This window comes from Homo sapiens, chromosome 6 (assembly GCF_000001405.40).
Source record: "Homo sapiens chromosome 6, GRCh38.p14 Primary Assembly".
NCBI classification, from domain to species: Eukaryota; Metazoa; Chordata; class Mammalia; order Primates; family Hominidae; genus Homo; species Homo sapiens.
The window spans coordinates 80,348,963-80,375,054 of NC_000006.12; the positions used below are offsets into that span (position 1 = coordinate 80,348,963).

Below are 26,092 nucleotides of genomic sequence, written 5' to 3' on the forward strand. Positions count from 1 at the left end.
CATAACTGGAAGGACTGGAACTGAAAATAGAAACAAGTAAAAAGGTGTATATCTAAATAATTGTCTTAAATACACTTTTATGTGAAGTGATGGCTCCATATTGCAAAAATAAGAAAATAGTGATGATCATAAATATGACTTAAGTTGACAAAGACTGGAGTAGTAGATTTGCCAAAAGGAGTTCAAAACTTCTAAACTCTTCATCTTTAGGAAAGAAGAGTGTAACTGCATTATTCTGCTGTTAACCTTGAAAGTTTAATAATGGCTTTTAAATGCTTCAAAAACTTAACCACTAATAGAACTAAAAGCAGCATATGTGTCTTCCACATCATTGCACAAATGGTCTATACTAATTACACAAACATTTAGTGAGTGCCTGTTACGGGCCGGGCACCGGGCTAGATTCTTAGGTACAAAGTTAACTAAGAAATAGCCCCTGCAACACAAATGAGGGGTGGGTAGTGGGGGGACAGCAAGGAAAGAAAAATAGGATAAAGCAAAGTCAAACATAAGACATAAATGTAATCAGGTGAATTCCCTAATTAATAAGAAAGAACTTAGATTGGGTTAAAAAACAAAATCCAATTAAAAGCTGTTCACCAGGAAGTCTTGAAATAAATTGACCTAGAAAGGTGAAAATTTGAAAATGGAAAAATATGTTAGGCAAAAATGAAAATGAAAACAAATATGGCATAATTCATATCAGACAAAATAGAAGAAAATATGCATTCGAAATTGACAAAAGGAATACATCATAGTGAAGGAAAGTATGACAGTTAAATCCTTTATGTTACAAATGTGTAGTATTAAAATACAAGTGAAAACTTTACAGTTACAAAAGATATGGAGAGAACAGTTGTAGAAGATGACTTTATCACTTTACTTGCAATTTGATAGATGAAGTAGACTAGAGTAAAAGAATATAGGATATTTTGGTTATATACATAGTAGAATAGAATCAATAGAAATATGTTTTAAACTTTTTTATTTCCACAAACAGAAACTATATCACCTTTTAAAGTATACATAAGTAGTTAAAACTACTGATCATGAATAAAGAAAAATAACAGTAAATTTCCCAAGGAAAAGAATATTGTAAAAGCACCATGTTTTCTGACCACATCCTAGATCAATAGTAAATATTCGAACTACATGGAAATAAAAAAGTACCCCACTTAGAAACTGTGGAGCCAAGAAGGAAATGTAAAAGCAATGACAAAATATTTAGAATATGAGATCACTGATGTGCTTCAGCTAAGATTCTACTCAGAGGTAAATTCACAGACATTAAATATTTTAAAGAAGAAAACCGAAGATATAAGAATGCGAGAACAAAGAAGGAAAAAGTGCAAGAAAAACGAAAAATAAAAGTAGTAAGTTCCAAATGAGAAAAAACTAAAATTGAAGTTTTTTAAAATAAAAATAGTGGGTTTTTTTTTTCCATTTTACTGTATATGTCTGTATCCTGTGAAGGTTAAGCTATGTTTTTATGTAATCATGGTATCTGCAAATACAGACCATGTATGGTTGTGTTTGCATTGGTTAATACTGCAAAGCTCCTTTCTTTGAGGGAGAAGAAGTGATTTTGCAAAACCTAATAGTTGGCCCACAGTGTTGATAAACAAAAGTCTTCATTATTAGGATATTTTATTCCACCATTTATATAAAATAATTATCAGGGTCTTGATTTGCTAAAAGTCCTTTTGTTTCTTGCTGAGCCCTATTTGGCTGTTGTAAGTATTTTATTTACTATGAACCCTCATAAGATTCAGTGGCTATAAAGAATTAGAATAATTATTTCAAGAATGTTTTCTTGATCATTTGGAACATTTATCTACTTATTTATCATGGGTTTTTGTTGTTGTTGTTTACTTATTTATTTTTGCCTTCCATCCTCAATGTTTTATTGGTTCCAGGACAAGGACCATTAGTCCATTTTGTTTACAACAAATTCCACAGAACCTAGAGTAACGCTTGGTCTACAGAAGGCTCTCAATATGTTGCTGAATGGACAGAAGAAAGGAAGCAAAGGCTTATCCCTAAGTTATACTTTGTACCTGAGAAACACTTTGTTAGAGGCCTGTTTGGTTAATGTGCACATTTAAAATGATATTATGTACATTTAACCTTGTATACTAGTTCTTATTTATTACATCAGACTCATGGGGTTGTACTTCATTTCTTAAAGAATTCCAGAAACAGAAAGAGTCCTTCATATAGGGCTAAATTCCAAGGATCTCCAATAGATAAGCTTTGTTTCTGAATTTTTAGGCCTATAGTCTTCAGATAGATTTCAAAACCATCTCTTTGTTAAGTAGCTCTAGGACAATATTGTGCTTTAAGGTGTCTATGTGTGTGTGTATATATATAGACAAAGTAGAATACTCATTCAAAACTCAGTTTAAGGGTGATGAGGGCAACTTTTCTTCATTTCTTTCATCTTTTCTGTTCTTGTAGTTACAAATGGAGAGTTGGCCTGGGTCCAAGTTAATTCTTCCCATGGCCCTGTCTGTATTGTCCCCTTTTTTCAGTGGTTAAAGTCTGCAGACTTCAGACTGGGCAGTCGTAGGACACCATCTCCTTGGCCACTGTGACTGGTGAAGGAATAGGTGACCAAAATTGGGCCAATCAGAGCCCTTCTTAAAGATTTTTCATATCAATAGATCTGGAATTTTTTTTTTTCTTTTTTTTTTTTTTTGAGACAGGGTGTCACTCTGTCACCCAGGCTGGAGTGCAGTGGTATGATCTCGGCTCACTTCAGCCTCGACCTCATGGGCTCAAGCAATTCTCCCACCTCAGCCTCCTGAGTAACTGGGACTACAAACGTGTGCTACCACACCCAGCTAATTTTTTCTTTCTTTCTTTTTTTTTTTTTTGAGACGGAGTTTCGCTCTTGTTGCCCAGGCTGGAGTGCAATGGCGCGATCTCAGCTCACCACAACCTCTGCCTTCCGGGTTCAAGCGATTCTCCTGCCTCCGCCTCCCAAGTAGCTGGGATTACAGGCATGTGCCACCACGCCCGACTAATTTTGTATTTTTAGTAGAGACGGGGTTTCTCCATGTTAATCAGGCTGGTCTCGAACTCCCGACCTCAGGTGATCTGCCCGCCTCGGCCTCCCAAAGTGGTGTTGGGATTACAGGCGTTAGCCACTGCGCCCGGCTTTTTGTTTTCTTCTTTTTGTTGTTGTTGTTTTTTTTTTGGAGATAGGGTTTGGCCATGTTGCCCAGGCTGGTCTTAAACTCCTGGGCTCAAGCCATCTGCCTGTCTCTGCGTCCAAAATGCTGGGACTACAGGTGTGAGCCACCACACTCAGCTGAAAGTTATTATTTTGGAGGGATTTATGGCCACCTTCTCTACAGAGGAGGTCATCTTTAACTGAAAAAGGGTGAAACCTCTATATTGAGGAATGCTGCAATGCAATATGGAGTCAATCTTGCCAGGTCCCTGCCTCTAGAGAGTCAGTCAATCAACCCCCAGGCTAGCTCCATTTCTGCCACATGCAGCCTGAAGTGTTCCATTCTTTCTCTCATTCTGTAAGGAATCAGCCCAAGGTCCTTCCAATGAACCACCATTTTCTGTAATCAAGTTAGGTTTCTATTGCTTGCAACCAAAAGCATTCTAATTCAACCATTCTAATAGTTTGCAGTATATTATATTTGAAAGAGGAAAATCTACATGTTTTAATAAAGTATACTTTGGGAAAACCCTCCACCTTGGGATTAGTTTATATATTGTGCTCAATTTTTTAAAATATGTGACATATATTTCATATATATGACATTAGCCACAGACCCTATGTTAATGTCAAGTGTTCTAACCACAAAATAAGTGAATGCAGACTCTCAGCCTGAAAGTTGAATGCTGGCAGCCTTCCCTTAGGCCAGAAAAATGAGCAGTTCCACAGCAGCTGTCCTTTAGAAACCATACTCCATGGAAGTTTATTTTGTTTTTAATTTTTATAAATTTATGGGGTACAAGTATAATTTTGTTACATGCATAGCTTGCATAGTCTTCAAGTCAAGACTTTAGGGTCTCCATCACCCAGATAACATACATTGTACCCATTAAGTGATTTCTCATCATTCACTGCCTTCCAACTCCCTCTCCTCTCTGAGTCTCCATTCTCTATTATTCCACTCTCTATGTCCATGTGTACACATTTTTTAGCACCTACTTATGAGTGAGAGCATGTGATATTTGACTTTCTGTGTCTGGCTTGTTTTACTTAAGATAATGACCTCCAGTTCCATCTATGTTCCTGAAAAAAATCTGATTTTACTCTTTTTAATCACTAAATAGTATTTCATTGTGTATATAATCACCATCTTTTCTTTATCCAATCATTCGTTGGTTGACTCTATATAGTGCTATGATAAACACATGAGTGCAGGTATCTTTTTGATACACTGATTTCTTTTCATTTGCATAGATATCCAGTAGTGTGATCACTGGATTGAATGATAGTTGTATTTTTAATTCTTTGAGAAATTTCCATGTTTTCCTTAGAGACTGTACTAATTTATATTCCCATCAATGTGTATAGGATTCTTTTTTCTCTTCATTCTCACTAAAATGTGTTTTTTTTTGTCTTTTAATAATAGCTCTTCTGTGGCCAGGCACAGTGGCTCACGCCTGTAATCCCAGCACTTTGGGAGGCTGAGGTGGGTGGATCACAAGGTCAAGAGATCAAGACCATCCTGGCCAACATGGTGAAACCCCATCTCTACTAAAAATACAAAAATTAGCTGGGTGTGGTGACACGTGCCTGTAGTCCCAGCAACTTGGGAGGCTGAGGCAGGAGAATCACTTGAACCCGGGAGGCAGAGGTTGCAGTGAGCTGAGATCATGCCACTGTGCTCCAGCCTGGGCGACAAAGTGAGACTCCGTCTCAAAAAAAAAATAAAAAGTAAAATAATAGTAGCCATTCTGACTAAGGTATGATGATGTCTCATTTTAATTTGCATTTCTATGATGATTAGTGATGTTGAGAATTTTCATACACCTGTAGGAAATTTGTATGTCTTCTTTTGAGAAATGTATATTCATATTTTTTGCCCATTTTTAATGAGATTATTTTTTGTATTTGTTGAATTGAGTTTCTTGTAGATTCTGGATATTAGTCTCCTCCTGTTGGATGAATAGTTTGCAAAAATGTTCTCTCACTATGCAGGTTTTCTATTCACCCTATTGATCATCTGTTATACTGTGCAGAAGTTTTTTAGTTTAATTTAGTTTAATTATAACCCATTTGTCTTTATTTATTTATTTATTTATTTATTTTTTTATACAGAGTCTCACTCTGTCACCCAGGCTGGAGTGCAATGGGGTGATCTCGGCTCACTACAACCTCTGCCTCACGGGTTCAAACAATTCTCCTGCCTCAGCCTCCCAAGTAAGTGGGATTACAGGCACATGCCATCATGCCCAGCTAATTTTTTTGTATTTTAGTAGAGACGGGGTTTCACTGTGTTGCCCAGGCTGGTCTTGAACTCCTGAGCTCAGGCAGTCCACCTGCCTTGGCCTCCCAAAGTGCTAGGATTACAGGTGTGAGCCTCCATGCCTGGCCCTATTTTTTTGTTGTTATTGCTTACACTTTTGAGGTCTTAGTCATAAATAATTTGCCTAGACCAATGTGCAGAAGAGTTTTCCCTGGGTTTTCTTCTAGTGTTTTTATAGTTTCAGGTTTTACTATTACGTTTTTAATTCATCTTGAGTTGATTTTTGTATACAGTGATAGGAGTTCAGTTCCATTCTTTTGCATATAGTGAATCTATTTTCTCAGCACCATTTATGGAAAAGGGTGTCCTTTGTGTATGTTTTTATTGGCTTTGTCAAAGATCAGTTAGCTGTAAATATGTGATCTTATGTCTGTGTTATCTATTCTGTTCCATTAATCTATGTGTCTGGTTTTATACCAGTACTGTGCTCTTTTGATTACTATAGCCTTATAGTATAATTTGAAATCAAGCAATGTGATGCCTCCAGCTTTGTTCTTTTGCTTAGGACTGCTTTGGTTATTTGGACTCTTTTTTGTTCCATATGAGTTTTAGAATTGTTTTTTCTAATTCCGTGAAAAATGATGTTGGTATCTTGATAGGGATTTCATTGAATCTGTAGATTGTTTTGAGCAGTATGATTATGTTAATGATATTAGTTATTCCAATTCATGGGATGTTTTTCCATTTGTTTGTGTCATCTACAATTAGGTAGGCAGATCACCTGAGGTCGGGAGTTCGAGACTAGCCTGGCCAACATGGTGAAACCCCATCTGTACTAAAAACACAAAAATTAACTGGGCATGGTGGTACACGCCTGTAATCCCAGCTACTTGTGAAGCTGAGGTGGGAGAATCTCTTGAACCCGGGAGGCAGAGGTTGCAATGAGCCGAGATCGTGCCACTGCACTCCAGCCTGGGCAACAGATTGAGACTCTGTCTCAAAAAAAAAAAAAAAAAAAAAGGAAGAAAATACTTTGTGTAAATTTGCCATATTTACACTCCTTCTATTAAAGCATGTTTACTTGCACCGTGATTTTATCTTTTAAGTGAAATATTTCGGAGAACAGTATAGTAAAAGTCTATGTACCCTCCCTCCTAGCATAAAAATTATAAAGTTCAATTCATTTTTTCCTAGTCTTCCCTAACCCAGAGGGCAATTTAGACCCTATGTTAACAGTAACAAATAGTATTTTTTTAAAAAAAATCTGTCCCAAAGGCTAGACAACCCACAAGGGTTTCCCTAATTATTTTGGGGAATTGCGTGAGGGTTGCTTTCAAACACAAGGAATTTGCACAACCACATGGAGTACATGGTTCTCTCTGGCTCTGGCTCTGTCTCCCAGCAGAAATATCTGCTGCCGGTAGCTATGGAAGGCACCTAAGGGCTGCTACTGCCACAGGTGCCGCCTGCAGCTGACGCTCACTATTGAAGCTATACTTCTTTGGGTTGTTGGAGTGGTGACAGTGCTCTTATTCTCTCTGGAGGTAGAAAAATCCTTCTCCTCTTGTTGAGATACAGGGATCCCAAATTAGTGTGACTGGTGATCACAACATCTCATCAATATTTGGTGAAACAGGCCTCACAGCTGTTCATCAGACAAGTGAATTAACTGACCGATTGTTGTACTTAGAACCTTTGTCCCTCTCCAGGACTCAAGCATTATCTGAGTCCCAAGCTCACTTTTCCCAGAGAATGGGCTTCTTGAAGGGGCTGCTTTGTTTCTCAGTACACATACACCATTGGCCAACTTGCCTGTCAATCCTACAGGCCACTCTAGATTCTAGAGCAAACACACTTTAAGTCCCAGCTTGGCTTACTCTTCTAAGGGAAGAACTCATGTCCATCAGATTTATTTGATGTTATTTTCTGAACAATAAAAGTGTTCAAATAGATTATAGGAACATTGCCTAGGATAATATGGTATAGCTGTGGTTTGTGATTTATGGTATATCCATATGATCAGGTACAATGTACAATTTTCAAATGATGATTATGAAAATTATGTAGCAAGATAGTAACATGGTCATTACATACTTTTAAGTAGAAAAATCAGGATTCAAAATTATGTGTGTATTATGATTAAAACTAGTATTACTTGTGATTACAACTATTATTACTTATGATTTTACTTACAAAGGAGTAATTAGAGAACATAGCCATGTTAGGGTGAGGATCATAAGTTATATCATAATGAAAGAATTTATTTTTCAGAATGTTTATTACACAAAGTAATAAAATATTTACTATGTGCTAAAAATTGTTACCAAATATTAAGTATTGCATAATCTTTCTGTTTTGTAAAACACTGTCCAAGCACCAGTATTAAAGGATCTTTTATCTGTCTGATTACTGCAAGAACCTGGAATCAATAAAATATGGTATTTTTTCTTCATCTCAAACTTTCTCTGTCTCTCTGTCACCCCCGACTCCTTCTGCCTCTGCCTCTTCCTGTCCTTTTCCCTCTCTCTCTCTCTCCCCCGCCCCCGCCCCCGCCCCCCCCCCACACACACGATTTGTTAGAAGGGAAGATTAAAAACAAATAATTCACCTACAATAATATACTAGTGCCCTTTTAAAGTTTGACTTTTTAAATTAAGCTTTAAAAAGTTTATTATTTAGGGTCATAGCAGAAAAAAAGATGTCATATTCAAAGGTTTGTCATTGAATACAGTTTAATAATGGGACTCTTTGCAAAGGTATGGGCGGATTAAGGGAACTGGGAAGGAAGGGTGAGGCACCCAGGAACTAGCAACTGTGGGAAGTCATTACCATTCCCTTGCCTGAAGGAGCAAGGAGGAGGGAATTGTCCTGGAACCTAGTGAGAGCTACAGCCATGGGAGAGGAGCTGCCAGATAAGAGATGCAGCCATAAAGGAAAAAGCACAGCTGTTGAAACAGAATGGAGAGGGGAGTATATCCTAGTCTCTCCTCCGGCCTTCTGATTGCCTGCCAGTGCTTCCCACTGGCTAAACCCAATTGCAAGATGGAGGCCAAGGGAGCCTGCTGATGCAGTCCCTAGGAGTCAGCCTCTCTTGACATAGAGAAGGCAAAGAAGGGTGGAGAATGAATTTGGAGGGGCAAATGGAGAATAACCAGTACACAGCACCCAGCTTCTCCATATCATAGGAGACAGGTAAATATCTGTTTAACTACATACAAAACTTCGACCTTGAAGCTGCTGAAAAGTGCAGATAATTTTTAATTGTGCTACGTTTTCCTGGGCAGGCCTGGAGTTTGGATGGCTGTGTACTCTGCTGATGGAAATTTATGGCTGTGTCCATACACTGTACTTTATTTGCAACGATGCTCTGAAAGTCTTCAGTTTTCTGCGCAATCCTGGACTGGTCATGTCTCAGCCTGTGACCCAGCTGTTGTTGAGCTGGAGCTCTTTCATCCTGTTTGCCAACTTACATCTCCTGTGTCCTGTATCCATGCTTTTTTCTTCTTGCACTTTGTTGGAGCACACAAATAGATTCCTTAGAAAGTATTCATGAGAAGCTAATTTTCTGAGACCATTCATGTCAGAAAATGTCCTTACTCTAACCCTTGACTAATAGTTTGGCTGAGTGTAGAATTTTAGACTAAGAAACATTTGTTTTTCAAAATAGGCCATTGCTTAATTTTCTTCTCACAATTGTATATGTCATTTTTTTTTCTCTCAAAATTTCTCTTGATCAGACTTTTTGGGATATTTCCTTATCTTCCTAACCTTCTATGTATTATTTTTATGTTGGCCAACTATTTCTTTTTAACCTTTGTTTTTCTCACAGCATCCTCTTATTATTTTAAGGATGCCATATATCTGTAGATATGTGTATACAGTAAATATACACATATATACACAAATAGATACACATATGGGTGTGCATTTTTTAATCTTTCAGGCTATGAGTTGTTACTTTTTTAAAAGTTTTACTGTGTCCTCTGATTTATATTGTTTTCTCCAGTTTTCATTTTTCTGTTTATTTTGGTTTCTCTCTTTTGCCTTATGTATGGTGATTGTCGATTGTTTTTATTCGACTGAGGCATCAAAAGCCGATCTGGATTGTAGTGTATTCACACAATGGAATATTATTCTATCATAAAAATGAATGAAGTACTGATACATGTGGTAACATGGATAAACCTCCAAAACATTACGCCAAGTGAGAGAAGTCAACGCAAAAGGTCACATATTGTATGATTCCTTTCATATGAAATATCTAGAATAGATACATTCATGAAGACAGAATGGAGATTGGTGATTTCCAGGGATCATGGGAAGGGGAGAATGGAGAGAAAGTGCTTAATAAGAACAGAGTTTTACTTTGTAGCGATGGGGACTAAATAGAGGTGGTGGCTGCAAAACATTACAAGTTTACTAAATGTCACTGAATCCTTCACTTTAAAATAGTAAATTTTATGTGACTATCATAAAATAAATTGATTTTTTAAAAGAGCTGCCTAGGAGACCCGTGGATGTGTGGCATGACAAGCAGTGGCCTTCATTTCTGAATAATGAGGCAGCAAATCAATCACTCTGAGAGGGCCCCAACATTGTTAGTGTGTACATGAGAGGATTTACTCTGGGGCTTTTTCACACAAAAATAGTTCGAATCTCTCCCCTAATGGGCAGCAGCCCAGTTCACCAAGTTCTTCGTGGGTCTGAGGCCTGCACGTGACATTAGTTCCCATCTTTTGTTCCTTGCGCATCATTCTGCTCTTGCTCTGAACCTGGTTTCCTGCTCCCAAAGCCTCTCCCTCTCAGCCTCTCCGGAGGCAGAGCACTGGTCCCTCACTGAGCAGGTAGAGACCTTGTTCTCCTCGTAGGAGGGCAGGAAGGGAATCTTTGGGCTCTCTTCCCTTGCCTCCACCTACTGTGTGCCACGCCAAAAACCTCTAAAGGCCTTGGCACAGCCAGTCAACTCTCCCCATTGGCTGGCCCTCCCCTGCACCACCCTTCCCGTGGTGAACTGGGACTTTCTTCCTTGGAAACTCATTTCTATCATTCTTCTGATGTTGTGTTTGTGTCCTCCTGTTTTCTTTGTCACTAGGGTTTATCCTTTTAAAAAAGCTTTTATTATCATTTTAATGCCACCTCAGGAGGGAGAAGAGATAAGCCAGTTTTTGGCTTAATACGCTTGTTTCTTATTGTTGTTGTTTGTTTGTTTTTTGAGATGGAGTCTCCCTCTGTCGCCAAGGCTGGAGTGCAGTGGCGCTATCTGGGCTCACTGCAACCTCTGCCTCCCTGGTTCAAGTGATTCTCCTGCCTCAGCCTCCTGAGTAGCTGGGATTACAGGTGCGTGCCACCACGCCTGGCTAATTTTTGTATTTTTAGTAGAGAGGGTTTCACCATGTTGGTCAGGCTGGTCTCAAACTCCTGACCTTGTGATCTGCCCACCTTGGCCTCCGAAGTGCTGGGATTACAGGTGTGAGCCACTGCGCCTGGCCAACACACGTGTTTAAATAGAAGACTGTATATTTCTTCTGACATCTTGCTGGGAAATTTTACCTCAGAGTGAAAAGAATGTTGTTCAGTTGTCAGCTCTAAATTAAGTTGTGTTCTCAGGCAAGTTGACAAATTGCCTAATCTTTTCTTATGCCTGATTTTTAACTGTTAAAATGGTGATTGGAGGTGGTTAGGGATGACAAGACATTGGGGAGGAGGCTCACATCTATTAAATGCCAATTATGTGCCAAGTGAACAATACTTTATTTCCTCAGGCTTCAAGTACAAATTACTGAAACTAAACTAATGGTTACCTGTCTTGTGTGACTGTTTTTGCCAAGTGTAGATTCTTGTAACTGTCTTTGAAGTAGGTGAAAAATCAAATAAGGTATTGTCTCCAAAGCCCTAGAACATCAGCCTATGCCTCTATGACAGACTTTTCACACATCATTGTCATTATTCGTTGACATCATTGATTCCCAGCCCCCAACAGGAAGGAATCCTGACTTATTCATCACCGTGCACAAGAGTAGCTCAATGAATAATGGAATTTGTGGTACTCCTGTTATAAGTATAATAATTTAGATGGAAGAAAATAAGTGATAAGTATAAAGTGATCTCCGAATGTAATCTCTTTAATGTCAGCTATGACTAAAACTAAGAGCCTTATGTTCACAGATTGCTACTTAGTGATGCCATTTTTTTATTAGAAGAAATCGACTGGTACATGTATATTTCATTGTGAGGACCCCAAATCTACTTGTTGGCTTAAGCAAGTTGAAATTTATTTAAGGAATCTAATTTCAGCAAGAACTCTAGGACTTATAAGAATTATTGGCCAGGTACAGTGGCTCATGCCTGTAATCCCAGCACTTTGGGAGGCTGCGGTGGGCGACTCACTTGGGGTCAGGAGTTCGAGACCAGCCTGGCCAATATGGTGAAACCCGTCTCTACTAAAAATACAAAAATTTGCCAGGTGTGGTGGTACATGCCTGTAATCCCAGCTACTCAGGAGGCTGAGGCAGGAGAATCGCTTTAACCAGGGAGGCGGAGGTTGCAGTGAGCTGAGATCCACCACTGCACTCCAGCCTGGGTGACAGAGCAAGACTCCATCTCAAAAAAAAAAAAAAAGAAAAAAATGAAAAAAAATTAGAAAGTTATATAGCTTTTCATTTTATTTCCCCACCTTTATTTCTCCCTTCATGTCTTCCAGGGGCCTCCCGGTATCTCTCTATCCTGCATGCCAGCTTCATTCTTTTCTCTCTGCTGACTGCTGCTTAATTTACTCATCACCTTGTGCTGGGCTGCTTTAAAATGGTAGCCTCTTCCTGCTGGCTTTCCAGCTTGGCGTCACATAATTAACAAACTCAATATTTGTTCATTCTAATTCGAAGTTCCCAGGAGGGAGAATAATTGGCCCAGCTTGGGTCAGGTGTCTACTCCTGCTCTTCCATTGGGACAGAGTGTGCAGGTGCACTGCATGTGGAGGGCTGGGAAAAGATGGCATCTCTAGTAGAGTACATTTGACAGGTCCCTCTCTCTAAAGGAGTTATGATTGTTGTTATTATTTATTCATAAGTAAGGTATTTTATCCAGAACTTAGTAGAGGAAGGTTAAGGTGAAATGTGGATGGATGTGTTCTCCTTTAGTGTAGCAGGAAAGCCCCCTGGGGTTGGGAATGGTGAGTCCTTTTTAGACTGTCCTGTCTGACGCTGCTCTTACTATGATCAAATAGGAGCATCACCCCCTCTAGAACTAGTGCTTTTCCTCTGCTTCAGCAAAATTCTTCAAGTGGTCATGTTGACACTGGTAGCTAACAAAGCAGTTGCAAGCAGAGTTTGGAAAAATGGAGCCTCTGTTACACCAAGGCTTGGAAGCCGCACATGAAAGAGGGATTGTCACGTTTCCATCTTTGTGATCTCTAAGTGCTGTTTTGCACACAGAGGACACATTTTGTGGCTTGAAATGAGAATAGGAGAGGAGGCAGATTCTGAGAGAAAGAACACGCATGGGAGAGAGCTAGAGAGTTGCTCCAGAGAGTAAAGTCCACATTTTATGTAGAAAGAGTGGTCCTGGGAGTTGTATAATTAAAGCATTATATTTATTTATTGTATTATTATTTAGATATACCATCTGTGTATACCAACTCAGAGGCTTTCTCTGAGTTGCTTCAAAATGAGATTCTGACCTGAGCTTTAGAGAAAGGAAGAAGTAATGATTACTTGTAAGGACAAACATGGACTAGAACTGAAAGCCTGTCTGGGCTCTGAGGCAGCCCTGGGAAAGCGGCTGCTTATTTCTTCTCTGTGATGGTCAACTTGATCTTATTTTCATGGTATCTTTGGTTTTCTCTTCTCTGATCACATTTTGACTCAAAGCGACACTGTTGAGCCCCAAGTTCCTGGTTCAATGAATATCCTATAGCCAGGATAGTAGAACTTGTTTTACAGAGTGTACACCAATGCTTTCCTCAGAAAGGGACTGTAGGAGCCAGGGGAAATAATGGGCATAATGATGCTTAATGAGCTGCTCAGTGTAGTCAGAAGTTGATAGCACTGATTTTTCAGTCCTCCGGCTAACCAGACAGCAAGCCACCCAGAGTGTCTTTTCTTGTGGGAATAGTGCTGGGTCACTCTTGTGGCTTCTCTGGGGGACTCATAGATAAGGGCAACCAAGAATGGTCATAGGATCCGCAAAGGCCATGTATAGAGGGACACCATTTCTTAAAATGCTGCCTGGCTGGAAGAGAAAGTCTTGAGTAGACTCACTCTGTTACCTAAAATGAGATTTATTCTCTGCAAAAGAGCAGAAAAAAATTCATAGGTAGGGGCACATGAGAGATTTGATGTGAACAAAGGGGATCAAGTGGACCTCACAGTTTTAAATAATATTTTTTCTCAGAAAAGTGGCCCTATAACTTTCAAAATTGCAAGCATTACAATCTGCTTGAATTTTAAATTTAATAAATGTTCTGTCAACTCCTGGACTTGAAATGAAAGTTGCATTAACCAAAGACGTGCCTTTAGATGTAAGTTTAAATAAAGCACCTCTAAAGAAGACTAAAATTCTATGTAATTTTACATAATTAAATGTAGCTATTTTGTCATACTACAATTTTCCACTCTTCTCCTTATGTCTACAATTTTGATGTTCATCATGGATTTGGATGGTTTATTTCAGTGCAAGCTTACCCACATTTGTAGGGTGCAAATGGTAATTATTCTCTACCTAAAGTCAGACAAGATGCCCCAAGTTCTCAGTTTAATGACACTTGGAAGATTTTTAGCAAAACAAATAGTGAATACTCTTCAAATCTGAACACAAACAATGAAAGCAAAAGTAATTTCCAAAAGGTCACTTTTATTTCTGCTGCTATTCTACCTTTTCAACGTCCCTATTCTTTTCATTGATGAGAATTTGATTGAGCATATTGGCACTGGCATTTCTGAAACGACTGAGATTACCATACAGTTCCAAGGGTTAATATGTTTTTGGTTACAAGAAACTGTTTTTTCAAGAGCTTATCTTTAGAAAATATTATTTTCTTGTCTTTTCAAATAAAAGATCATCAGAATGTCAAAGTCTGAAATCCTATGAGTCTTTGGGTGCAACTTTTTTCTCATTCCTTTTCTATCACACAAGAAAATTAACATTTTGAATTTTCTATGATTTTGTATAGAAAATTATTCATGTACTAAGCTCATTGAAGTTAGAAAAGATGATCTCAATCTATGAACACTGTCATACATACTTTATTGTCATAATATATGAGCATAGCACAGGGCTGTGGGCCAAGGAGATTACAAAAGAAATGTCCATGCTACCCAGAATATGCAATCCAGTGAAGCACAAGGAGTACAGCAGTGTTTTACAGTTTTCTTTTAAAATAGACTTAACTCACTAAAAGTCTGAGGAGGTCTACATAAAAATATTGAGATTATGAGTACAAAGAATATGTTAATATGGCAAAAATTACGTAGGTGGCTTGTAGATGACTGACATTTGTATAACACCATGCTTACTTATAGTCTTAATGGCATTGCAGTGAACCCCGGGCTACTTCTAAGGAGAACCAAATCACGGTTATTTACTCCATTGATTTGCATATATGCAAGGCAGTGGGGTAAAAGTTGCTAACAATTCACAAATACTTCCAACAAACACACAACACTTTCTTCTTTATAAAGTTTGAAATAACTAACAATACTCCTACAGTGATATCCTGCCTGTTTTTCTTCTTTTTAAATTCATGTGTGTATGAATCATGTGCAATAAGATTTACAGTGTGTATCACTTACATATTTTTATTTTTACTGTGAACTCAAACATGCAATTACCCCAAACCAGAAATGAATAGAACCAACTGAGGAAGAGAACAGCTAGTGAGCATCCTCAAGACACACCACAAATGACCAAGACTCTGAAGTGAGTTACTGGCAGCCAAGAGGCCTGCAGGGAGGCACAAATCATTCAATCAGGCATTGCTATTGACTCTGAAGAGGGCATTTGGCCGGGAGGGAGAGGGAGGAGATCCAGGTCTATTTGTGTCTTGATGCAGGCAGGGAGGTCATGAGCCATAAAGTACTGGTGAGAGGACAGCCCTACTTTCTGATGTTTCGAAGTAATTTTGAGACAAGTATTACTCCATAAGTAAAACGTATTCATTAGTCTATTTCAGAGATAAGTAGACTCTCACTTTTTTCTTCGAGACTCTTTGTTGTAGACACTGACACCAAAGAGTAAAACTACTCATTTATCAGGAGCCTTAAACTCAGTGGCTTTCAGTTGAGATTAAAATAAAAACTTGTTCAGACTGTAAAAACAGACTCATGATAACAGGAACAAATGTTGGCAATTCATAGAAACACAGATTTGCTCCTACTTTGGCTTTCCCCATACAATCAGTGAACCTGTTGAAAGCAAAGTTGGGTACTGGGGGAACCCACCCCCAATATTTCAACGGAGGTTCTTTATATTTTCCGTAAGTGTTGGCCAGCTGAGAAATAAAGAGAGACAGTATAAAGAGAAGAATTTTACAGCTGGGCTACTGGGGGTGACATCACATATCAGTACACCCGTGATGCCCGCCTGAGCCTCAAAACCAGTAAGTTTTTATTAAGGGTTTCAAAAGGGGAGGGGGTATAAGAACAGGGAGTAGGTATGAAGATCACATGCTTCAAAGGGCAAAAAGCAGAACTACTAATAAGGGTCTAACAAAGATCACATGCTTCTGAGGGAACAGGACAAAAGGCAAAAGCAGAACTACTGATAAGGGTCCAACAAAGATCACAAGGCAAAGGGCAAGAGCAGAACTACTGATAAGGGTCTATGTTCAGTGGTGCATGTATTGTCTTGATAAACATCTTAAACAACAGAAAACAGGGTTTGAGAGCAGAGAACCAGTCTGACCACAAATTTACCAGGGCAGAGTTTTTCCCCACCCTAGTAAGCCTGAGGGTACTGCAGGAGACCAGGGTGTAGCTCAGTCCTTATCTCAACTGCATAAGACAGACATTCCCAGAGGGTCTCCCCCCAGGAATGCATTCCTTTCCCAGGGTATTAATATTAATATTCCTTGCTAGGAAAGAATTTAGTGATATCTCTCCTACTTGCGTGTCCGTTTATAGGCTCTCTGCAAGAAGAAAAATATGGCTCTTTTTGCCTGACCCCTCAGGCAGTCAGACCTAATGGTTGTCTTCCCTTGTTCCCTAAAAATTGCTGTTATTCTATTCTTTTTCAAAGTGCACTGATTTCATATTGTTCAAATACACGTTTTACAATCAATTTGTACAGTTAACACAATTATCACAGTGGTCCTGAGGTGACGTACATCCTCAGCTTATGAAGATAACAGGATTAAGAGATTAAAGTAAAGAGAGACGTAAGAAATTATAAAAGTATTATTTGGGAACTGATAAATGTCCATGAATCTTCACAATTTATGTTCCTCTGCTGTGGCTCCAGCCGGTCCCTCCATTTGGGGTCCCTGACTTCCTGCAACAGTTGGGCCCAGGAATTAGTCCTGAATAGGAGGCTATAATATAACACATTTGGAAATAGTTGGAAAGCAAATGATCTCAGTACAACTGATATTAGTCTTTCAGGTATAATCACTCAAAGATGTCTTACAGTATATGCAGTTTGTGCTTTTATTAGTGTGGCGTGTGTTGCAATTTTCTGCAGGCCAATTTTACTCTTTAGACCAATGCCATAGCCTTGAACCTGGAATAATAAAAGCAGGAATTTTCCTGTTGTTTGGCACTGAGCTCTACTCATTAGCTGCTAATGAAGCAGAAGTTGTAGAGTCGAGTTCCATGTGGGCCAGTTGGCTTCATGTTGAGAGGAATATCTTTCAAAGACGCAGATTGAATTTCCATCTCTCAGCAACATCAGCCAGATGCGTATCATGGGACACAATTTGATCTTGGGGAAAGAGTTTGAATGTTTAGTATACTGTATGCCACAACTATAACTGGAAAGAAAAAACACACCAAATATGGCTGTCTAGTGCAACCCTAGCACATGCTCATAGACATAGTCAGCAACATTTCTCTTTAACGGTGAGAGAAAAAAATCCAAAAGGAAAAGAAGGATTAAAGAATCCAATTTAAACTTATAACCCAAGTGTGCTGTTGACCCTACAAGTGATAATGTGTTATGCATAAAGTGATTTACATAATATTTTCAGTGTTGTTCTCACTTTTATTATGCCATAAAAATCTCCCATTTTCTCATTTCATAGTGTAGTGCCCAACGTACAGAGAGTAGAAAACAAGGTACACAAGCCAGTTCCTCTATCCATCCATTCATCCATCTAGACTTCCAACACACTTTCTGAGAGTGTAATTTATCCTTGCTGCATTAATATTCTTTTTTCACTCCTTACTCCTTTGGAATCTAGCCTACAGTCTAGCTACTTTCCCCACACTACTCTCTCAAAGGTTATCAGAAACCACTTAACCTTCATGCTTAGTGTCTATTCTCAACAGACATCTGGCAGAATTAGGAGGTGAGCCATGTTCCTGGAGCCCTGGCTCTATGCCAGCTGGGAAGGCAGCCATGCAAAGTCTTGCTGCTAACCCCCAGCCCAGCAACAGGACTGCATTTAAACAAATAACCAAAAATACTCTCTCTTAAACACTTATCCTGTGACTTTCATGACTCATATTATCCTGGTTCCCCTTCCATTTATTGATCCTCTCAGGCTTGGCTCCATAATTTGTGGGGCCCAAAGCAAAATGAAAATTTGAGTTCCCTTGTTTGAAAAGCAAGAAAAATTACTGTTAAAGTTACTCAATATAATTCTGTTTCTTTTGCACTTTCTCTCGATTTGTCATGGAATTTTTTTATTTGCTATTTAACATAATTCTAAGTAAAGAAAAAATAAAATTTTTAATTATTAGAATAAATTTTACCACTTTTCTTCATATTGTACAATGCCAATTTTAAATGCAAATTTAAAAGCATTTAACTTATATGTGTACTCACCAAAATTATACAGCTATTATTTTTATAGCTCATACATATATATGTATTTCATTCTTACCTGAACAGTGGAATCACTGCACAAAACAAACTCTACTGTTTTTTTATTTCACTTACTGATATGCACACATTCTATCAACACTCTCTATGGTCAGTTTACTTGTATGTCATCATTTTCAGTATAAGTGCTTGACTAACACAAGTAAGAAATTAACACAAGTAAGAAAATATGTGATGGAGTTTATTTGAACATCATTGATTTCTTTCACACCAACAAGTTCTGGTTTGAACAGAAAGCATAGCCTCTCAAGGCTTATCAGCCTTCCCCTGCACATGCTTACTCTAAGGTGAAACATGTACCTGGTACTCATATTGAGTCTTGCTGAACTCCCATGCATTGTGAGTCCACTGGAATTCTGTGATCATGAGACATCATATGTGAGTGGGAAGGCCAGGAATGGTGGGGCATGCACATTGCACATAGTGCTTCTCCTCATGCATGTGGTCCATTGCCCCATCCAACTTTGCTTACAAAACACAGTTCAAAGATACATTTTTTTAAAAAATTATAAGACTGTGGCAATAGCATTACACTGAACTTGGAGCCCTTCTGAGAGTGACGCTGTGTGAGATTGCATAGGCCACACACCCATGTCACTGGCCCTGGACTCTCACTGGTTTCTGTGTCATCCAGTCCATCTAATAAGTGTCATGTGTAGTTCTGTCATCATCTTCTCTTTGTACATTTCATTCACCTTTATAAATTCAATTAACACCTCCCTGTCTTGCTCCCAGTTTTTCCCAGCCTCTGAATATCCAACTGCCTGCTGAATACATCTCAACACATACCACATCTAAAATAAAATCCACCATTTTTCCCCTAAAGCTGTTCTTCCTGGTTCAGTTAGCCAAAAATCTCAGTCATTTGGTCCGCAGTCTGTACAAAGCTGATCACATGGTAGTTGCTCAATATACACTGCTGGTTTATTGACCAAATTGAATATCTGCCTGCAGTTACAATTTGTAAGAGTCAGCCTAGATCATTCAGAGATAGTTGTTCTGGTTGTAGATTTCCCATATCCTTATTTCTTTTCAAAATTATTCTTATAATACAGCTTCAAGACATTGGACAGAGGCAGGAAATAAAGTTTAGCCATCCACTTCTACCTAACATTAATTAAAAACTTGTAACAGGAACCGTGATGATATTAATAGTTAAATTGGATACCAAGATTTAGAGTAGATTTCATCTACATATGCTCACAACTTTGCTTTTCAGTTATTCCCAAATAAGCGGTTTCATTTCTTTTCCATTTCCAGATTTCTATATACATGAACTTAAAAAAAAAAATCCAGCCCTGGGCATGGTGGCTCACACCTGTAATCCCAGCATTTTGGGAGGCCGAGGCGGGCGGATCACTGGAATTGAGGAGTTTGAGACTAGCCTGGGCCAATATGGCAAAACCTTTGTCTTTACTAAAATTACAAAAATTAGCCAGGCGTGGTGGCTCGTGCCTGTAGTCCCAGCTACTTGGGAGGCTGAGGCAGGAGAATCATTTGAACCCGAAAGGCAGAGGTTGCAGTGAGCCAAGATTGTGCCACTGCACTCCAGCTTGGGTGACAGAGTGAGACTCCATCTCAAAAAAAAAAAAAACAAAAGAAAAGAAAAAAAATTCCATCGGTGGGCATTAGACTTAGTCCCTGTCAAAGTCACACTGGCTACTGTCTTATTATTTGTATTCTTTGTTGTAATTTGATGTTGAAATTGTAATTTGATGAACTTTAATTATGGTGTCTTGATATTTCCAGTGCTTCCCACTCTGGGTAGGCCATGAAAATAATGGTAACATTTGTGTTGTTATTCGTTATTTGTATTCTTTGTTACAGAAATTGTAATTTGATGAACTTTAATTATAGTGTCTTGATATTTCCAGTGTTTCCCACTCTGGGTAGGCCATGAAAATAATGGCAGTATTTGTGTTGTTATTCTCGCATTTCCAGTTTAGACTGGAACCCAGAAGAGTTTGAAGGGTATTAAAAACAACATCAATAACAAAAAAGAAAAACAGAACTAATAAAGAAAGATGGGGGTTTAGATTATTTCAAACCTCATGATGATGTTTGGTTTATATTTAAGTGAGGTTCAAGTTAGTTCCTGTTTTTATGAGACTCTCTAGGTCCATTTCTAGCCACCTTTGCTTTAGGTTTGGCATGTGGAAAGACTAAAACTGCCTTCTTGCCTGACTATGGTTCATCTAGTCACTAACTGCCTGCAACGCCAAGGTAGAACTTCTTATTTCAGGCAGCCCAGACACTGGAAATAATGTGCTGCTTGTATTATAAATCCAAAGAAATGCCAAAATAACCTGTGGCTTTCAGGAGTGGTACAGTTAGCTTTTATGACCAAGGAATGGAAAGCCAACTTAGAACCCAGTATCAACCTTTCCATTCAAACCTGCATTCTGGTGGACATTAAAGTTCTAGTTATTTGTGAAATTTAAAAATAATATTTTAAATGAGATTTGCTTCTAAGCTGTTGTAAGATATATTTTATTTATGATATGTTATAGTAATCCTCTAATTTTGAGTTTCTCTCTTACTATTGTTTTAAACATCATTTACACTTCTGTGACATTTCTTATGCAATATCAAAGCCAATAAAGTAGTATATTAGTCAAGGAAGACATTGAATTTTTGATGCACACATCACTGTGGGTCATAAAATAGAAGTAAATGAGTAATTCCTACCTTCAGAAAATGAATCTTTTTGAGGCAATAATAATATAGGCCTATGAATAATTAGAGGACAATATAACATAGTACATAGTCCAGTTAAAAAAAGAGGTTAGAAGAGGAAAAAGACCAGATCTCTATGTGGAGGAGAAAATGATGCTTAAACTGTCTTTCTCTTCGGAAAAATAAGGAGGACAAGAGAGGGCATCCATCTATTCAGAAGACTTGTGAAAATAAACTATCTAAGGGCCTTTACATATTGGTAGATGCTGCATGCTGTTTTTCGCTTATTTTATTTTATGTTTGTTTCAATAGGGTTTTGGGGAACAGGTGGTCTTTTGTTACATGAGTAAGTTCTCTAGTGGTGATTTATGAGATTTTGGTGCACCCATCACCAGAGCACCATACACTGTACCCAATGTGTAGTCTTTTATCCCTCACCTCTGCCATCCTTTCCCCTGAGTCCTCAAAGTCCATTATATCATTCTTATTCCTTTGCAACCTCATAGCTTAGCTCCCATTTATGAGTGAAAACATACAATGTTTGGCTTTCCATTCCTGAGTTACTTCACTTAGAATAATGGTCTCCAATTCATTCTGGGTTGCTGTGAAGTCATTATTTCATTCCTTTTTATGGCTGAGTAGTGTTCCATGGGGTGTGTATATATAGCGTGTGTGTGTATATATAGCGTGTGTGTGTGTGTATATATATATGTGTGTGTGTGTGTGTGTGTTTGTGTGTGTGTATATATATAGATCATATTTTCTTTATCCACTCATTGATTGATGGGGATTTGGGCTGGTTCCATATTTTTGCAATTGCAAATTGTGCTGCTATAAACATGCATGCTCAAATATCTTTTTCATATAATGACTTCTTTTCCTCTGGGTAGATACCCAGGAGTGGGATTGCTGGATCAAATGGTATATCTGCTTTTAGTTCTTTAAGGAATCCCCACACTATTTTCCATAGTGGTTGTACTAGTTTACATTCCCACCAACAATGTAAAAGTGTTCCCTTTTTACCACATCCATGCCAACTTCTATTATTTTTTGATTTTTTGATTATGGCCATTCTTGCAGGAGTAAGGTGGTATCACATTGTCATTTTGATATGCATTTACCTGATCATTAGTGAGGTTGAGCATTTTTTCATATGTTTGTTGGTCATGTGTATATCTTTTTTTGAGAACTGTCTATTCATGTCCTTAGCCCATTTTTTGATGGAATTGTTTTTTTCTTGCTGATTTGTTTGAGTTCCTTGTAGAGTCAGGATATTAATCTTTTGTCAGACATATAGATTGTGAAGATTTTCTCTCACTCTGTGGGTGGTCTGTTTACTCTGTTGATTGTTCCTTTTGCTGTGCAGAAGCATTTTAGTTTAATCAAGTCCCATCTATGTATCTTTGTTTTTGTTACATGTGCTTTTGGGTTCTTGATCAGGAAGTCTTTGTCTCAAAGTCTAGAAGGGTTTTTCCAATGTTATCTTCTAGAATTTTTATGGTTTCAGGTCTTAGATTTAAGTATTTAATCCATCTTAAGTTGATTTTTGTATAAGATGAGAGATATGGATCCAGTTTCATTCTTCTACATGTGGCTTGTCAATTATCCCAGCACCAATTGTTAAACAGGGTATCTTTTCCCCCTTTATGTTTTTGTTTGCTTTGTTGAAGATAAGTTAACTGTAAGTATTTGGGTGGATTTCTAATTCTTTATTCTGTTCCATTGGTCTATATACCTATTTTTATACCAGTACCATGCTGTTTTGGTGACTATGACCTTATAGTATAGTTTGAAGTCAGGTAATGTGATGCCTCCAAATTTGTTCTTTTTGCTTCATCTTGCTTTGGCTATGTGGGCTCTTTTTTTGGTTCCATATGAATTTTGGATTGTTTTTCCTAGATGTGTGAAGACTGATGATGGTATTTTGATGGGAATTGCATTGAATTTGTATATTTCTTTTGGCAGTATGGTCATTTTCACCATAATGATTCTACCCACCCGTAAGTATGGGATGTGTTTCCATTTGTTTGTGTTGTCTATGATTTTTTTAAGCAGTGTTTTGTAGTTTTTTTTTGTAGAGGTCCTTGTTTAGGTATATTCCTAAGTATTTTTTAGCTATTGTAAAAGGTGTTGAGTTCTTGATTTGATTCTCAGCTTGGTCACTGTTGGTGTATAGCAGAGCTATTGATTTGTGTACATTAATTTTGTATCCTGAAACTGCTGAATTTATTTGCCAGTTCTAGGAGCTTTTCGGATGAGTCTTTATATGATCATATCAGCAGCAAACAGCAACAGTTTGACCTTGTCTTTACCAATTTGGATGCCCTTTATTTCTTGTTCTTATCTGATTGCTCTGGCTAGGACTTTCAGTACTATGTTGAATAGAAGTGGTGAAAGTGGGCATCCTTATCTTGTTCTAGTTCTCAGGGGGAATGCTTTCAACTTTTCTCTTTTCTGTATAATGTTGGCTGTGGGTTTGTCATAGATGGCTTTTATTTCCTCAATGTGTGTCCCTTCTATGCCGATTTTGCTGAGGGTTTTAATCATAAAGGGATGCTGGATTTTGTCAAATGCTTTTTCTACCTCTATTGAGATGATCATGTGATTTTTGTTTTTGATTCTGTTTATGTGGTGTATCACATTTATTGACTTGAGTATGTTAAACAATCCCTGCATCTCTGGAATGAAACAAACTTGATCATAGTGGATTCTCTTTTTGATTTGATGTTGGATTCAGTTAGCTAGTATTTTGTTGAGGATTTTTGTATCTATGTTCATCAGGGATCTTGGTCTGTATTTTTCTTTTTCTGTTATGTTCTTTCCTGGTTTTGGTATTAAGGTGATACTGGCTTCATAGAATGATTTAGGGAGGATTCCTTCTTTCTCTATCTGTGGAATAGTGTCAATAGGATTGGTACCAATTCTTCTTTGAATGTCTGATAAAATTCATCTGTGAATCCATCTGGTCCTGGAATTTTTTTTGTTTGGTAACTCAAATTACCATTTCAATCTTACTGCTTGTTATTTGTCTGTTAAGAGTCTCTCTTTATTTCTGGTCTAATCTAGGAGGGTTATATGTTTCCAGGAATTTATCCATCTCCTCTAGGTGTTCTAGTTTGTGCACATAAAGGTGTTCATAGTAACCTTTAATTATCTTTTGTACTTCTGTGGTTTCGGTTGACATATCTCCTGTTTCATTTCTAATTGAGCTATTTGGATCTTCTCTCTTCTTTTCTTGGTTAATCTTGCTAATGGTCTATCAGTTTTATTTATCTTTTCAAAGAACCAGTTTTTGTTTTATTTACCTTCTGTATTATCTTTTTTGTTGTTGTTGTTTAAATTTCATTTAGTTCTTCTAGGCTCTTTGTTATTTCTTTACTTTTGCTGGGTTTGGTTTGTTCTTGTTTCTCTAGTTCCTTGAGGTATGAGCTTAGATTGTCTTTTTGTGCTCTTTCAGACTTTTTGATGTAGGCATTTAACGCTATGTCAGTGGATAAAAGTCCCCCAATAGTATTGCATTGCTGTCTATCTCATCTCTTAGGTCTAATAATAATTGTTTTTATAAATTTGGGAGCTTCAGTATTGGGTGCATATATATTTGGGATTGTGATACTTTCCTGTTGGACTAGGCCTTTTATCATTATGTAATGTGCCTCTTTGTCTTTTTTAACTGCTGTTGCTTTTAAGTTTGTTTTGTCTGATACAAGAATAGCTACTCCTGCTTGCTTTTGGTGTCCATTTGCATGGAATATATTTTTCTACCCCTTTACCTTAAGTTTATGTGAATCCTTATGTGTCAGGTGAGTCTCTTGGAAACAGCAGATATTTGTTTGCTGAATTCTCAACCATTCTGCCATTCTGTGTCTTTTCTTTTTCCTTTTAATTGCATTTATTTTAATGCTGAATTTACTCCCATGCCATAAGTTTTTGTTTCATCAGTTTCTTCTGGGATATCTTTTTCTTCTGGGCAACTTCTTCTTCTGGTTTAGGAGCAATCTGTTCCTTTTCAGTAAGGCTCATCTCAATGTGGCAGGGAGAGCTCATGTATGGGTTAATCCGACTATGAGCTCTGTAGGTCTGGCAGCACATCTTAGATGCTTTATTCATTTGGATATGCTCAATGGCCAGAGAGTCTACATCTAAACCCTTAAGTTCACCATTACTGTCTGCATTTTTAAGCATGTGCAGCAAAAATTCAGCACTCTTTTTGGGCCACCAACCTTGTGTCTAGCCCCACTGCTTGGCCTGGGCACACCTGCCAACTCCACCATTGTAACGTCGGAATGGTACGCACCGTTTCTGTAAAGTGACATCTTTCAGATATTTTGTGGCTTTTCATATATGCATACCCTTGATGGCCTGGGCAGTTTCACGAGTGTTCTTAAGGTGAATACAAAGATTGGAACCTCTTGATTTGCATGATTTTGTGGGGTTCTCCCGGTCAAGTGTATAGGGCACCATTTTCACAGATTACCTCCGGCTACTTAGGAAAAGAGCCATTCTATATCTTTTAAGTGGAGCATTTAGGCCATTTACATTCAATGTTATTATTGAGATTTGAGGTACTATTCTATTCACCATGCTATTTGTCACCCGAATATCTAGGTTTTTTCATTGTGTTATTGTTTCATAGATCCTGTGAGATGTACGCTTTAAGGAGATTTTATTTTGTGTATTTCAAAGATTTGTTTTGAGATTTAGAACTTTTTTTTAGCAGTACTTGTAGTACTAGCTTGGTTATGGTGAATTCTCCCAGCATTTGTTTGTCTGGAAAAGACTGTATCTTTCCTTCATTTATGAAGCTTAGTTTCACTGGATTCAAAATTCTTGGCTGATAATTGTTTTGTTTAAGGAGGCTAAAGATAGAACCCGAATCCCTTCTAGCTTGTAGGGTTTCTGCTGAGAAATCTGCTGTTAATCTGATAGGTTTCCCTTTATAAGTTACC

At 38.0% G+C, this 26,092-nt stretch overlaps 1 protein-coding gene and 1 pseudogene across 8 annotated transcripts in view; one reads left to right on the forward strand and one right to left on the reverse strand.

Moving 5' to 3' along the window:
• Window positions 1-26,092, forward strand: part of BCKDHB (branched chain keto acid dehydrogenase E1 subunit beta) — a 360,067-nt gene that overhangs the window by 242,353 nt on the left and 91,622 nt on the right. For 2 of the 8 annotated variants that reach the window (NM_001424036.1, NM_001424035.1), the window contains one exon: window positions 5,291-7,897. The exons of 5 other annotated variants lie outside the window; for them this stretch is intronic. Coding sequence is in view for 1 of the 3 variants with exons in the window: in NM_001424035.1 (NP_001410964.1) it covers window positions 5,291-5,488 (198 nt within the window). In the remaining 2 variants the exon portion in view is untranslated. Of the gene's footprint in view, window positions 1-4,601; window positions 7,898-26,092 lie in introns of those variants that run through there. One more of the 8 variants, XM_047419207.1, reaches the window with a different exon arrangement.
• On the reverse strand, window positions 25,018-25,628 carry RPL17P25 (ribosomal protein L17 pseudogene 25; annotated as a pseudogene).